Here is a 13,572-nt window from a genome sequence, read left to right on the forward strand (position 1 = left end):
TCAAAATAATAAGAGCTATTTATGACAAACCCACAGCCAAAGTATCATACTGAATAGGCAAAAACTGGAAGCATTCCCTTTGAAAACTGGCACAAGACAGGGATGCCCTCTCTCACCACTCCTGTTCAACATAGTGTTGGAAGTTCTGGCCAGGGCAATCAGGCAGGAGAAAGAAATAAAGAGTATTCAATTAGGAAAAGAAGAAGTCAAATTGTCCCTGTTTGCAGATGACATGATTGTATATTTAGAAAACCCCATTATCTCAGCCCAAAATCTCCTTAAGGTGATAAACAACTTCAGCAAAGTCTCAGGATACAAAATCAACGTGCAAAAATCACAAGCATTCCTATACACCAATAACAGACAAACAGAGAGCCAAATCATGAGTGAACTCCCATTCACAATTGCTTCAAAGAGAATAAAATACCTAGGAATCCAACTTACAAGGGATGTGAAGGACCTCTTCAAGGAGAACTACAAACCACTGCTCAACAAAATAAAAGAGGATACAAACAAATGGGAGAACATTCCATGCTCATGGATAGGAAGAATCAATACCGTGAAAATGGCCATACTCCCCAAGGCAATTTATAGATTCAATGCCATCCCAATCAAGCTACCAATGACTTTCTTCACAGAATTGGAAAAAACTGCTTTAAAGTTCATATGGAACCAAAAAAGAGCCTGCATTGCCAAGTCAATCCTAAGCCAAAAGAACAAAGCTAGAGGCATCATGCTACCTGACTTCAAATTATACTACAAGGCTATAGTAACCAAAACAGCATGGTACTGGTACCAAAACAGAGATATAAACCAGTGGAACAGAACAGAGCCCTCAGAAATAATACCATGCATCTACAACTATCTGATCTTTGACAAACCTGACAAAAACAAGAAATGGGGAAAGGATTCCATATTTAACAAATGGTGCTGGGAAAACTGGCTAGCCACATGTAGAAAGCTGAAACTGGATCCCTTCTTTACACCTTATACAAAAATTAATTCAAGATGGGTTAAAGACTTAAACGTTAGACCTAAAACCATAAAAACTCTAGAAGAAAACCTAGGCAATACCGTTCAGGACATAGGCATGGGCAAGGACTTCATGTCTAAAACACCAAAAGCAATGGCAACCAAAGCCAAAATTGACAAATGGGATCTAATTAAACTAAAGAGCTTCTGCACAGCAAAAGAAACTACCATCAGAGAGAACAGGCAACCTACAGAATGGGAGAAAATGTTTGCAATCTACTCATCTGACAAAGGGCTAATATCCAGAATCTACAAAGAACTCAAACAAATTTACAAGAAAAAAACAACCCCATCAACAAGTGGGCGAAGGATATGAACAGACACTTCTCAAAAGAAGACATTTGTGCAGCCAACAGACACGTGAAAAAATGCTCATCATCACTGGCCGTCAGAGAAATGCAAATCAAAACCACAATGAGATACCATCCCACACCAGTTAGAATGGCGATCATTAAAAAGTCAGGAAACAACAGGTGCTGGAGAGGATGTGGAGAAATAGGAACACTGTTACACTGTTGGTGGGACTGTAAACTAGTTCAAGCATTGTGGAAGACAGTGTGGCAATTCCTCAGCGATCTAGAACTAGAAATACCATTTGACCCAGCCATCCCATTACTGGGTATACACCCAAAGGATTATAAATCATGCTTCTATAAAGACACATGCACACTTATGTTTATTGCGGCACTATTCACAATAGCAAAGACTTGGAACCAACCCAAATGTCCATCAATGATAGACTGGATTAAGAAAATGTGGCACATATATACCACGGAATACTATGCAGCCATAAAAAAGGATGAGTTCATGTCCTTTGCAGGGACATGGATGAAGCTGGAAACCATCATTCTGAGCAAACTATCGCAAGGACAGAAAACCAAACACCACATGTTATCACTCATAGGTGGGAATTGAACAATGAGAACACTTGGACACAGGGTGGGGAACATCACACACTAGGGCCTGTCGTGGGGTGGGGGTAGGGGGGAGGGATAGCATTAGGAGATTAATGTAAATGACGAGTTAATGGGTGCAGCACACCAACATGGCACATGTATACGTATGTAACAAACCTGCACATTGTGCACATGTACCCCGGAACTTAAAGTATAATAATAATAATAAAAAGAGTCAGCCCCCTAGCCTGGCAGTGCTGCTCTACAGGCACCCTCAGCCCTGATCCCTTCACTGCACCTAGGGGACACAGTTTACAGGACTGAGTCAGTGGGACACCCTGTTCCTTTACATTCCCAGTCATGGGCTCAGATTCTGCACTTGTCTCACTGCTGGAGGGAGGAGCCTGCATCAGTCACCCTCAAAGAAGACATGAAGTTATTTCACCTGTAAAGGCAAGAAACTGTTCGCAGCACTGGGGGCAGGCTTGGGGAAGATGAGGTTTGTGAGGATGTTGAGAATTCATGCAGCTCATCCTTCAGCCCTATAGCTTTCCAGAGAAGTGTATAATGGGGGTCACTAGGCATGTGAGTAACTGATTTGGTGAAAGATGCCACTTCAGATCAAAAGTGCATTTCCCCTTCCCCAAGGTGTCAGCAACACTGAAACATATTTGACTAACTTTATAGAGGAAGATTAAGATAGAGGATGAGAGAGACATAAGGCCTCAGGAATATCTTAGCCAATAGAAAGCCTGCTGGAAGATGCATTTCCAATATGATTAGACTGATTGAAAACCTTGAAACTAAACACTTCCAAAGGAGACTGGGACCCATTTCTCCTGAGAATGACAACACAAAAAATAGTAGAGGAAACCAACAAACCAAAAGCAGACACTGTTTCAGATCTATTGAAAATCCTCAAGATAGTCTCATAATATAATATTCAAAATATCTAGGATACAATTCAAAGAAACACTTGTTATATCAAGAAGTAGAAAAATTCACCATTTGAATGAGAAAAGGCAATCCAGACATCAACGCTGAGATGATTTAGGGCTGAAATTACCTGACAGATATATTGAAATCAGCCACCATAAAATCCTGTTGATGAGCAATTTCAGGCATTCTTGAAACAAATGAAAAAGGATAAATTCTCAGAAAAAATAGAAGTCATAAAATCAAACTAAATATAAATACAAATAAAATAAATGAAAAATTTAAAAATACCTCTCTGGAGAGACTCAAGAACAAGTAACTATGAAACTAAAATCCACGCATTAGAGAAGACACTTAACACTGTTAACTAGAGAAGCACAAACCATAGTTATCACAGCCCAGCAGGGCGAGCAATCAGTCTGCTCAGAAGTGAGAGGCCTGAAAAAAAACTCCTGGTGTCCCTGATGGTGAAATCTGGCCCCTGATCCCAGGGTTCCTCCCTCTTCGTGCTCAGAGGGCTAGACCTAGCAGTGAAGGGTTCCCAACCTCACCCTATGTGGCCCCTCCAGAAGGCAGAGCCCATTCTTGCTGATATTCCCGATCTCCAATAACACAAAGTCAAAGAGAATGTCTTAACCAGAGTACTGAGTCTTGGCCTATCTGAACATATTTCAAAGTTTAAATGTACAGTGAGCATAGGATGCTGAGCAGAGGCCCCCTGGACAGTGGCTGGAGTTGGGAGCAGTGCAGGATGGAAGGACAGGTCAGGGGCCCTGAGCACCTGTACCTGCACCTGCACCTGCCCAGGGTGGACATGACTCCCACATCCACCAGAGGGCGCTGTGGTCTAAGCAACTAATCAGAGCTCCCCAGATCCTCTGCTGTTTTCCCTCCACCTGCTGGTGTTTCTGTGCCCTCCAGATGGTGTTGCTCCTCCCCCTTCTATGACCACTTTTCAGCCATAACCTTGTCTGAGGTCAAAGGAGGGGGTTGTGCAACCTCCAGAAAGGGAGAAATTTGCATGGAGCCCTACCACTCTGAGGATACGCGTGACAGATAAGAAGGGCTGGTGGGATCAGTCCTGGTGGTAGCTCAGGAAGCAGAGCCTGGAGCATCTCCACTATGGCCTGGGCTCCACTACTTCTCACCCTCCTCGCTCACTGCACAGGTGGCTGCCTGCAAGGAATTCAGGGAGCGTTCCTGGATGTCACCTGGGCTGATGATCTGTTCCTCCTGCCTGGGAACCAGTCTTCATCTCTCCCCACTGATCTCTGTGTTGCTCTCTTCTTGCAGGTTCTTGGGCCAATTTTATGCTGACTCAGCCCCACTCTGTGTCGGAGTCTCCGGGGAAGACGGTAACCATCTCCTGCACCGGCAGCAGTGGCAGCATTGCCAGCAACTATGTGCAGTGGTACCAGCAGCGCCCGGGCAGTGCCCCCACCACTGTGATCTATGAGGATAACCAAAGACCCTCTGGGGTCCCTGATCGGTTCTCTGGCTCCATCGACAGCTCCTCCAACTCTGCCTCCCTCACCATCTCTGGACTGAAGACTGAGGACGAGGCTGACTACTACTGTCAGTCTTATGATAGCAGCAATCACACAGTGCTCCAGACCCATGGGGAAGTGAGACAGAAACTCCCCAGAGCATCTCTACCTGGGCCAGTCTCAGCCTGTCTCCACCGGAGAGGGTAGCTCTCCCATCTCTCCTGTCTAAGTGCTTGAGGTGAACTTTGCTTATGACTTCCTCTTTTCCTTTTCAAAATACCAATCTGTTTTTCCACACCTTGATGGCTGATTTTCTGATATGTGCACGATCAATTGTGGGATAAATGTAGTTTATAATCGGGTCTCTGAGCCACACCATGATTGATGTTCTGGTTGGGGCTGCCTTGCACAGTATAAGTTATTGACTTGCATCTCTGGCCTCTACCCTTAGATACTATTAACACCCTCCCCTCATTTGTGACAACAAGACTGTCTTGAGACACTGCCACATGTCCCATGCTTGGGGACAAAATCAGCCCAGGTTGAGATACTCAGTTAAAGAGCATGTCTTCAGCTACTAAGAAGCTTGGCTTTGAAATGTGTTTATGCCATTCTGCTGAGCATGAGGCTGGTTTTCTAATTTTTGTTTCTGGTTCCCATCTATGAGACAAAACAATAACACCAAACTTCAATGTTTTGATGGTTGAATGGTTTTTCCAAGCAACAAGAAGTCAGAGATTGTGCTACTTAGAGGTGTAGAAGCCCTAACCAGATCCTGTAACACAGAGTTTAGCTCTGACTAGGACAGCACACAATGCCTTCCATCAATCTCCAACCCACAGCCCGCAGGCTGCATGCAGCCCAGAAAGGCTTTGAATGTGGCCCAACACAAATTTGTAAACTTTCATAAAACATTATGATTTTTCTGCAATTTTCTATAGCTCACCAGCTATTGATACTAACAGTTAGTATCAGTTTTATGTGTGTTCCGAGACAATTCTTCTTCCATTGTGGCCCAGGGAAATCAAAAGATGGGACACCCCTGCTTTGCACTTTTGTACAATGCACATGGAAATATAATAGAGCCTTCTTCCTTCTAAGGTCATGTGACTCAGCCATTGAAAGGTGGAAGTGCTGAAATGAGCTCCATATGAACGGACCTTGAAAAATTATGCTCAGTGAAAGGAACAAATGCAAATATCTAGAAATGAAATGTCTAGAAATGACTGTATTTATAACAAATGTCCATGATACGTAAATTCATGGAGGCTGAGAAGATCGAGATTATCCTCAAACCTTGTGATAATTTAGGTGAAAAGGATGATTTCAGAATTGGATAGAAAGTGATCTACTTCAAAAATAAGCTGGAAATGCCTCCACGAACAGAGGCGATGCTTTGCGGAATCCTAGGTGGAGAAGTGTATCAGGTGCAGATGAGGTCTTTAAGAATACTTCTTGTTTTGTTTTGTAAAATTAAATATGAATAAGAACACTGTGGGCCAGGCGCGGTGGCTCACGCCTGTAATCCCAGCACTTTGGGAGGCTGAGGCTGGTGGATCACGAGATCAGGAGATCGAGACCATCCTGGCTAACACAGTGAAACCCTGTCTCTACTAAAAATACAAAAAAATTATCCAGGCGTGGTGGCAGGCACCTGTAGTCCCAGCTACTCGGGAGGCTGAGGCAGGAGAATGGCGTGAACCAGGGAGGCGGAGCTTGCAGTGAGCTGAGTTTGCGCCACTGCACTCCAGAGCCTGGCTGACAGAGCGAGACTCCATCTCAAAAAACAAAACAAAACAAAAAAACACTGTGCTTGCTCGCTTACCTCCTCCTCAGGTCATTTCCTGCAGTCTCTAAGAACAGTCCGCCTGGCTTCCCCATCTCCTCCCTGAGCGCCAGCATCTGGGGCGTGAACAGCACAATCAAGGCCACACCTGTGAGACCCTCAGTGAGTCAGCAGGGCTGTGTCCTGGTGATGTCAAGGGACACGGGGTCAGCAGGGGACCTGTGAGGCTGTCTCAGGGGGTGAGCATGTCTGGCCCTGCCAGCTGGGAAGGCCCTCAGGAGGTTGAGGGGAGCTGAGCACACAGTGAGCTCACTGAGCTGAGATGGGAAGTGACTGCAGCTGTCAGGACCTTCAGGGACACTCAGTCTAGGATCAGGCTCTCTCACCCTGTGGGGCCTGGTTCAGGTCAACTCCTCATCCTCCTCTTCTTCCTCCAGACAAGAGAGACATTGCCTATGGCTGAGGGGTCCTGGAGGTGATCCGGGTGCAGGGACATATTTGAATGTAGGAAATTCTCTCCCAGTGAGACCTGTAGAGACTAAAAGAGCGTTAGGAACATTCACTGTTACTGCTGGAGTCTTAGGGTGCAGATCTCTTGAGCACCTGCACCATGGCTTGGCCCCTCTGCTTTTTGACCTCTTCCCTCCCTGCCCAGCTGAGGCACATCCTGCTCTGGGGAGAAGGGTCTATGCGGTCCTCAGCCCACCTCTGCTCCACTCCCTTTCTCACAGGGCTCATTGTTTTCTCTTTCTCTCCACCCTCCTGGGTCTGTGGTCCACATGGCACTGACAGCCTCTTTCACTGACCAAGCCTCCGGGACTGACAATTACAATCACCCACCCTGGAAACAGCCATAATACTGTCAATCAAGGCACAGCTTGGATTCAGGAGCACCTGGGACATGTCCCCAAACCTCAGACCCAGAGGGGGTAACAACCATCCCTCAGGGACCTCAGGGAATTTCCCAGCCCCATGTTAGGCAGTTTGGCCTCCCTGGCCATCTCTGGGCTCCAGGCTGGCGACGGTGCTGATTTTCACTATTTAGCACAGAATGGCAGCCTCGCTGATTATTCTCTGATTATCTGGATGCTCTGTGACTCCTTCTGTGCATCTCTGGGATCATCATTCAGACTCACCTGCACCCTGAGCAGTAACATCAATGTTGTTTGCTATGACATTTACTGGAAACATGACAGGGCAGGGAGCCTTCCCTCCCTGGTATCTACTGAGATTCTACTGAGATTCAAGCAGAACCAGGGCTCAGGGTCCCCAGCCTCTTCTCCGTGTGAGTGGGTGCCGTCGCCAGTGCTGAGGTTTTCCATATCTTTGGTCTCAAGCTTGAGGATGAGGCTACTCATGGCACAGTAGTGCCTCTCACAGTGCCATGGATGGGATGTTCTCTCTAAAATAGAAGTCTTTTTTTTTTTTAGTTTGGCCCCTTTGATAAGTAGATTCTATAATAATTAAAGAAAAAAAGTAATGTCTTTTTTGGAGGGTAGAAACACTGGTGAAAGAGAAACCGGGAAGGACTTGGCATGGGGGGTGGGTGGGCTTCAGGCCACGGCTCTGACCCCCACGAAAGGAGAGAAGGAAGGGGGATTAGTAGGAACTGCCCCAGCCCACAGGCAGGTCAGACGTCAGACAAAGCCTCAGCCGACTGAGTGGGTTCTTTCCCAGGGGTGCCCATTAGAAGTGCCCTGCTTCCTGCAGGAAGACCTGGCTGGAGGGACCCTGGGGTCCTCATTGCCTGGAGCCAGCCCAGGGGCAGGGGACATGTTAGTCACTTGTGGTCCTCCTGCAGGTTCTCCCAAAGAGGCATCTGAGTGGGACACTTCCATAGCCGCCACCAGCACTGCTGCTGCATTCCCCCTCAGGACAGGGGTAGTGCCTTCCTTCCCTGGCTCATCTACCTGAGCCCCATGTGAAGTCAAAGCTTAGGTGTCTCAGGGCTTTCCCCCAACAGGCCCTGCAGCCACTGAGACCCTTATATACCCTGAGCTGCATGCTGTGGAGAGAGGGTCTGTGGAAGACCTTGGCTCTTAGCCATCGACTCCTCTGGGGAACACCATGAAATCCTCAGACTGGGGATGTCCTCTGGAGCCATCTTTATCCTCTTCTTCTTCCCAGTATCTCCTGCTCCATGATCTGGGTCCTGTCCCTGGCCCTGTTGCATCTCCAGTGTCTGATCCATGCCAGCCCTTCCTTAAATATGTGTTGAACCCATTTCCCATTTGCCCAAGAAATGAGTGCTGGCAACGAGCTGCACTTTTTTTTTTCTAAATGGGAAATGGGTCAATAAATGAATGAATGAATGAATGAATGAATAACAACGCAACCTGAGTCTCCTGTCACATGGTTATTTTAAGACCTGCATTTTTCTTTACCCAGGAGGAAAATGAGTCCCTGCAGCTGTTATTGCCTCTGAATTGAGCTAACTTGTTTCTACACTGTCATGCCATGGTCACAGTGGGACAGATGTACACCAAGCCTACCATAGCTTTCAGCCCTGCCCTTCCACCCGCCCCGCCTGTGGCAGTGATGGCATCAAGGCTTCCCTCAGAGTCGGCCTCTACCCACCACACACTCTGGGCCATCTCCTGCTCTCTGACAGCCTGGGGTTCAGTGATCCCTGTCCATGTGTCCTACCTCAGAGACACCTGCCACTCCTCCCCTTCCCTAATTTCTCTGCCATCCTGTTTCTCCAGCCTCCCAGGAATGTCCCCTGCCCAATCTCCTGTCTCAGGTTCTAGAACTTGTCCTGGAACTTCCCCAGAGCTGAGTCTCTAATAGGAGAGCTGATGACAGGCACAGCCGCGGTCAAGCCCTCTAGCCAGCAGATGGAGGAGAATCAGCCTGAGGGCCCTGTGCATCCTCCCTGCTGCACACCTGGGCCCATAGCCCCCTCCACCCTCCATATGCTCCTGCAGCCCCCACCTCAGTGTCTGCCTCAGTGTCTCCTCCCAGCACCTTCCTCAGGAAGGGCCTGAGATCTTGCATGGTGTGTTTCCCCTTGGTGAACTCCTAGTCACAGCAGCATCCTGAGTAAGAGCCTCCTGGTGAAGAGATCGTCTTGGTGCTCCACCCTGGCATTGTGTCCTCAGCTCCAGGGCAGGTCACATGCTTTCCTGGACCAAGATTACATGCAGTCCACCCCTGCTGGCCCCTGCCCCACAGAGGGAGGCCCGGGGTCAGGGGTGGCACCAAGACCACAGCTCCACTGATCCCTGTAGGAATTCTTCCTGCATGTTTGAAAGACAAGAGTTACAGAAACAAAGCAGAGGGAAGATTCTGGATCATTGCAAAAGGAGAAATTTGCCTGCAGACCAGCAGGGGGCGCGGTGAGAACTTCTCTGTGTATTTCTGCAGGACAGGTGCTCACAGCTGGGGAGCCCTCAACTGACAGAGGCCCAGGGCTGCTCCTTCACTTCCTCCTGGGACTCTGCAGCCTTGTCTCATCTGTGCCTGGCAGAGTCCTCTACACATGACCCTGTGTGTGGTCCCAGCAGCTGCTGCTTTCTCTGGTCCCACCCGTGGGGCAAACTCTTGCTTCATGCCAGCCTCCCTGTCCAAGGGTCTGGTCCCTGCGAGTGCACCTGCGGGAGAGGCAATGGGGAAACACATTTGCATGGTCAGCCCCTCCTCTGTGAGCCCAGTGACGCTGGGATAAGAGAGGCCTGGGGCAGCCCACCCCTAGGTCTGTGGCCTCAGAGGCAGCTGTGTCCACTATGGCCCTGACTCCTCTCCTCCTCCTGCTCCTCTCTCACTGCACAGGTAGGGACAGGGCTCAGAGCCCAGGGTGGTCCCCAGCCTGATCTGTCCCTCATGGCTCAGATCCCTCAGCAGCTGCGCCCTGACCCTGCTCCTCACTGTGCTGTGTCTGTGTCTGCAGGTTCCCTCTCCCGGCCCGTGCTGACTCAGCCGCCCTCCCTGTCTGCATCCCCGGGAGCAACAGCCAGACTCCCCTGCACCCTGAGCAGTGACCTCAGTGTTGGTGGTAAAAACATGTTCTGGTACCAGCAGAAGCTAGGGAGCTCTCCCAGGTTATTCCTGTATCACTACTCAGACTCAGACAAGCAGCTGGGACCTGGGGTCCCCAGTCGAGTCTCTGGCTCCAAGGAGACCTCAAGTAACACAGCGTTTTTGCTCATCTCTGGGCTCCAGCCTGAGGACGAGGCCGATTATTACTGCCAGGTGTACGAAAGTAGTGCTAATCACAGTGAGACAGATGAGGAAGTCGGACAAAAACCAAGGTTTTAAGCTTGTCATTTTTACTGAACTGGTTAAGAACTTCAGTGGTTAATAAAATCACATTAAATACTGGATTGTTGTTAAAAATGGTGGCACATTATAACTCTCTCCCATTTTTTTCACATAATGCCCATAGTGACTCTAAGCAGCTAAAATCAAAACACAAAAACTTATACCAATACTAAGAAATACTAACATTACTAACCAATTTCCACTAGTAAAAGAGTTGTGAAACAGCTGAAATACATCCAGATGGCATAATACATAATACCACTATATACAAGAGTTGTATAAAATTATGTATCATGTATATATAAAATTATGTATCATGTATATGTATAATATATGAAATAAAATGTCAGCAGACATTACCGTCTTCCCACCAGTAGCCAGCAATTCTGCCCTGCCTCTAGAATAAATGGTTACCATGGGTTGAATAGGTGAACAGCCCTGGCAGCTCTGCAGGATGACTCTCACTGTTTGTTATTGTTTTATTTTTAAGATTGCTTTTCTTTCCTTTTTTTTTTTGAGGCAGAGTCTTGCTGTCAGCGAGGCTGGAGTGCAGTGCAGTGAGCTGGGCTCACTGCAACCTAAGCCTCCCTGGTTCAAACGATTCTCCTGCCTCAGCCTCCTGAGTAGCTGGGATACAGGCGTGCGCCACCATGCCTGGCTAAATTTTTTGTATTTTTTAGTAGAGACGGGGTTTCACCATGTTGGTCAGGCTGGTCTGGAACTCCTGACTTCGGGATCCGCCGTCCTCGGCCTCCCAAAGTGCTGGGATTACAGGCGTGAACCACCGTGCCCGACCTCTTTTTTTTTTTTTTTTTTTTTTGGTTTTGTTAGTTTAGTTTTGTTTTATCTCTTTAACTTGACAGAGATGATCCATGTGGATCTCTGCATGGGTCTGGGAGCTGCAAGGCTCCTGGTGCATGGCCCAGTCCCGCCTGCCTTGGCAGGGCTCCTCCACCTGGCTCCTGGAGGAGCTGCTGCGCCCGACTACCCTGCATGGAGCCCGCGGCTTAGCGGCAGCTCGGGAGGGGCCTGATAGAAACTTCCCCCTGAGCAAGCAGCGCCAAACCCAGGCCGCCACCCAGGATGGAGGCTGCATCACCCCCGGGGAGCCCGGATCCTCGCCAGGGTCCACCAGGAGAAGAGCACATGGCGGAGATGAGCCTGCGGGGCTGGGAGAGAGAGAAGACACGGCGAAGATGCAGGTGAAGACGCTGCACTAAGGCCCCACCCAGAGGCTGAGGTTCCCCGACCAGACCAGCAGCAGCGAGGCTGCCCAGAGCGGCGCCAGCAAGGTGGTTCTCTCCAGGTCGGATCACAGGAGAAGCTAGCCTTGCACCTGGCCCAGGCGAGAAGCAGGACATGGGCTTACGCAGAAGAATCAGCACCGATTCCACATCATTCCCCATGGCAACGGCCTCTACGGTGCTGTCAGCAAGACCCAGTGCTAGACCCGAGCCTGCACCAGGAGCTGCGGAGCGGAGGGTGCGCCCCATCCCGATCGTCTCCACCACTTTAGCTCCCTGGGTGAGGGTGACACGGGGAAGCTTATTATCGCGGCTGCCCAAAACGGGGCGTGGCTGGGTACCCTGTGTACATAGGGTAGATGCTGAATGTGAATAGCACTGAACTACTAGAGGGAGGCTGGAGAGGCCCACAGTGTCTATCTACCATGATTCATTATTTGGGCCCAGAGGATTGCCTAAAGCCTAGTATTTGGCTCAGTTGGCTCAGTAACGGGCACTAGGATGCAGTATTTGATCACTCCTATCCTAACCAAGTACGACAACTGGTGCAAACAGACTCAAAAGCAAAAGGCAACGCAATGAATAACTTGCTCACTCTGGGGCCACATATTCTGAATAAAATGCCTACCCTTGAAATGTCTGAAAACCTTACACCCTGGGAAAATTGCATACAGAACTTGTGCTTGGAGAATGACATGAACTCTAATCAGGGTAATAACACTTGTAAAGTTCCTAACAGCTTTTCTTTCCTTTTTTTTTTTTTTTTTTTTTTTGAGATGGAGTTTCGCAGTGTTGCCCAGGCTGGAGTGCAGTGGCGCGACCTCGGCTCACTGCAAGCTCCGCCTCCTGGGTTCACGCCATTCCCCTGCCTCAGCCTCCCGAGTAGCTGGGACCACGGGTGCCCACCACCACGCCCGGCTAATTTTTTGTATTTTTAGTAGAGACGGGGTTTCACGGTGTTAGCCAGGATGGTCTCAATCTCCTGACCTCGTGATCCACCCGCCTCGGCCTCCTACAGCGCTGGGATTACAGGCGTGAGCCACCGCAGCTGGCACTTCCTAATAGCTTTTCTGTGAGTGTAACGCCATAATCATCTTTTAAAATGTTTTCTCGGAACTAAAAGTTGCTGGGCGCCTAAATGATGTTGCATGATAGTTTTGGGTGATTTTACTGCATCTGTAATTTTCTGTTTAAGTGAGCACTGCTTAATTTGAAAGCTAATTTCTCACAGTGTAAATCTGTTCATTCCTGGTAGTCTATTTTCTACAAAAGTGTATTTTTACACAACATTAAAAAATGGTGTACCTTCATCTATGACAGTACATTACTTTTGACAAGCAGCTTTCAGGCAGAAATTAAGAGAAGTGTTTTATATAAAATTTATTATTTTGAACAGAGTTTGTGATTTGGTAGTTACGCTGTTGAAATTTGAATTTTACAATTCTTAGAAACTTATATTGATGCATTCTTGTTACCAAATGATTGGCCCATTACATTTTGATACAAATAGATTTGTTGTTTTGGAACCATTATTTGTTTAGAAATGGTCAATCTTTTAGAGAGAAATACTTAACAAAGGATTGTGGGAAGTTTTTTTTTTTCTTCTTCTTTAACGGATTGTACCAGGTCTTACTTGAATGAAAGTCTGATGCTTGCTGATGGCAGAGTGACTAATCTGCACTAGATTGATGTTAGAGCAGAATGTTGGGTGATCTCAATTGTTTTTATTTATGTTTGTGATTTTGTTTTAAGGTAATCTTAACATGGTATAAGACTCTGTGACAAGCTAAACCTACTGCAATATAGCATGTTGGAGTCCCCTAAGAGTTTTAAAAGCTAATGGCATAAATGCCTGGAGCCAACCTCGGCAGTTATTTCATAGCAGAAGATACCGTCTTAATACTCCTTTTAAATTCTTTTAAAAGGCAAAA

At 47.8% G+C, this 13,572-nt stretch overlaps 2 pseudogenes, 2 gene segments (V, D, J or C) and 1 further gene, besides 4 other annotated features; all 5 read left to right on the forward strand.

Moving 5' to 3' along the window:
* The window catches only part of IGL (immunoglobulin lambda locus), an 896,838-nt gene that overhangs the window by 165,737 nt on the left and 717,529 nt on the right, over positions 1-13,572 (forward strand).
* Positions 3,697-3,756: a silencer, noted in NCBI's record as "silent region_13523". NCBI's record gives its function as "represses an Ori minimal core promoter by ATAC-STARR-seq in GM12878 lymphoblastoid cells {active_cell/tissue: GM12878}" and the evidence as "EXISTENCE:reporter gene assay evidence [ECO:0000049][PMID:35858748]".
* IGLV6-57 (immunoglobulin lambda variable 6-57) lies at positions 3,987-4,464 on the forward strand. The segment is given in 2 exon segments: positions 3,987-4,032; positions 4,158-4,464. Coding segments are annotated over 2 exon segments (353 nt in total).
* Positions 6,912-7,207, forward strand: IGLVI-56 (immunoglobulin lambda variable (I)-56 (pseudogene); annotated as a pseudogene). The gene is given in 1 exon segment: positions 6,912-7,207. A coding segment is annotated over 1 exon segment (296 nt).
* Positions 8,719-9,528: an enhancer, noted in NCBI's record as "H3K4me1 hESC enhancer chr22:22554925-22555734 (GRCh37/hg19 assembly coordinates)". NCBI's record gives its function as "activates a minimal SCP1, AML or CMV promoter by ChIP-STARR-seq in naive H9 embryonic stem cells {active_cell/tissue: H9 hESC(naive)}" and the evidence as "EXISTENCE:reporter gene assay evidence [ECO:0000049][PMID:30033119]".
* Positions 8,719-9,637: a biological region, named in NCBI's record as "Sharpr-MPRA regulatory region 1853".
* Positions 9,343-9,637: a silencer, noted in NCBI's record as "tiled region #1853; K562 Repressive DNase unmatched - State 25:Art". NCBI's record gives its function as "represses a minimal TATA promoter and a strong SV40 promoter by Sharpr-MPRA in K562 cells {active_cell/tissue: K562}" and the evidence as "EXISTENCE:reporter gene assay evidence [ECO:0000049][PMID:27701403]".
* On the forward strand, positions 9,863-10,349 carry IGLV11-55 (immunoglobulin lambda variable 11-55 (non-functional)). The segment is given in 2 exon segments: positions 9,863-9,908; positions 10,027-10,349. Coding segments are annotated over 2 exon segments (369 nt in total).
* LOC100419915 (OTU deubiquitinase 1 pseudogene) lies at positions 11,237-12,345 on the forward strand (annotated as a pseudogene).

Source organism: Homo sapiens, chromosome 22 (genome assembly GCF_000001405.40).
Source record: "Homo sapiens chromosome 22, GRCh38.p14 Primary Assembly".
In the NCBI taxonomy this organism is placed as follows: Eukaryota; Metazoa; Chordata; class Mammalia; order Primates; family Hominidae; genus Homo; species Homo sapiens.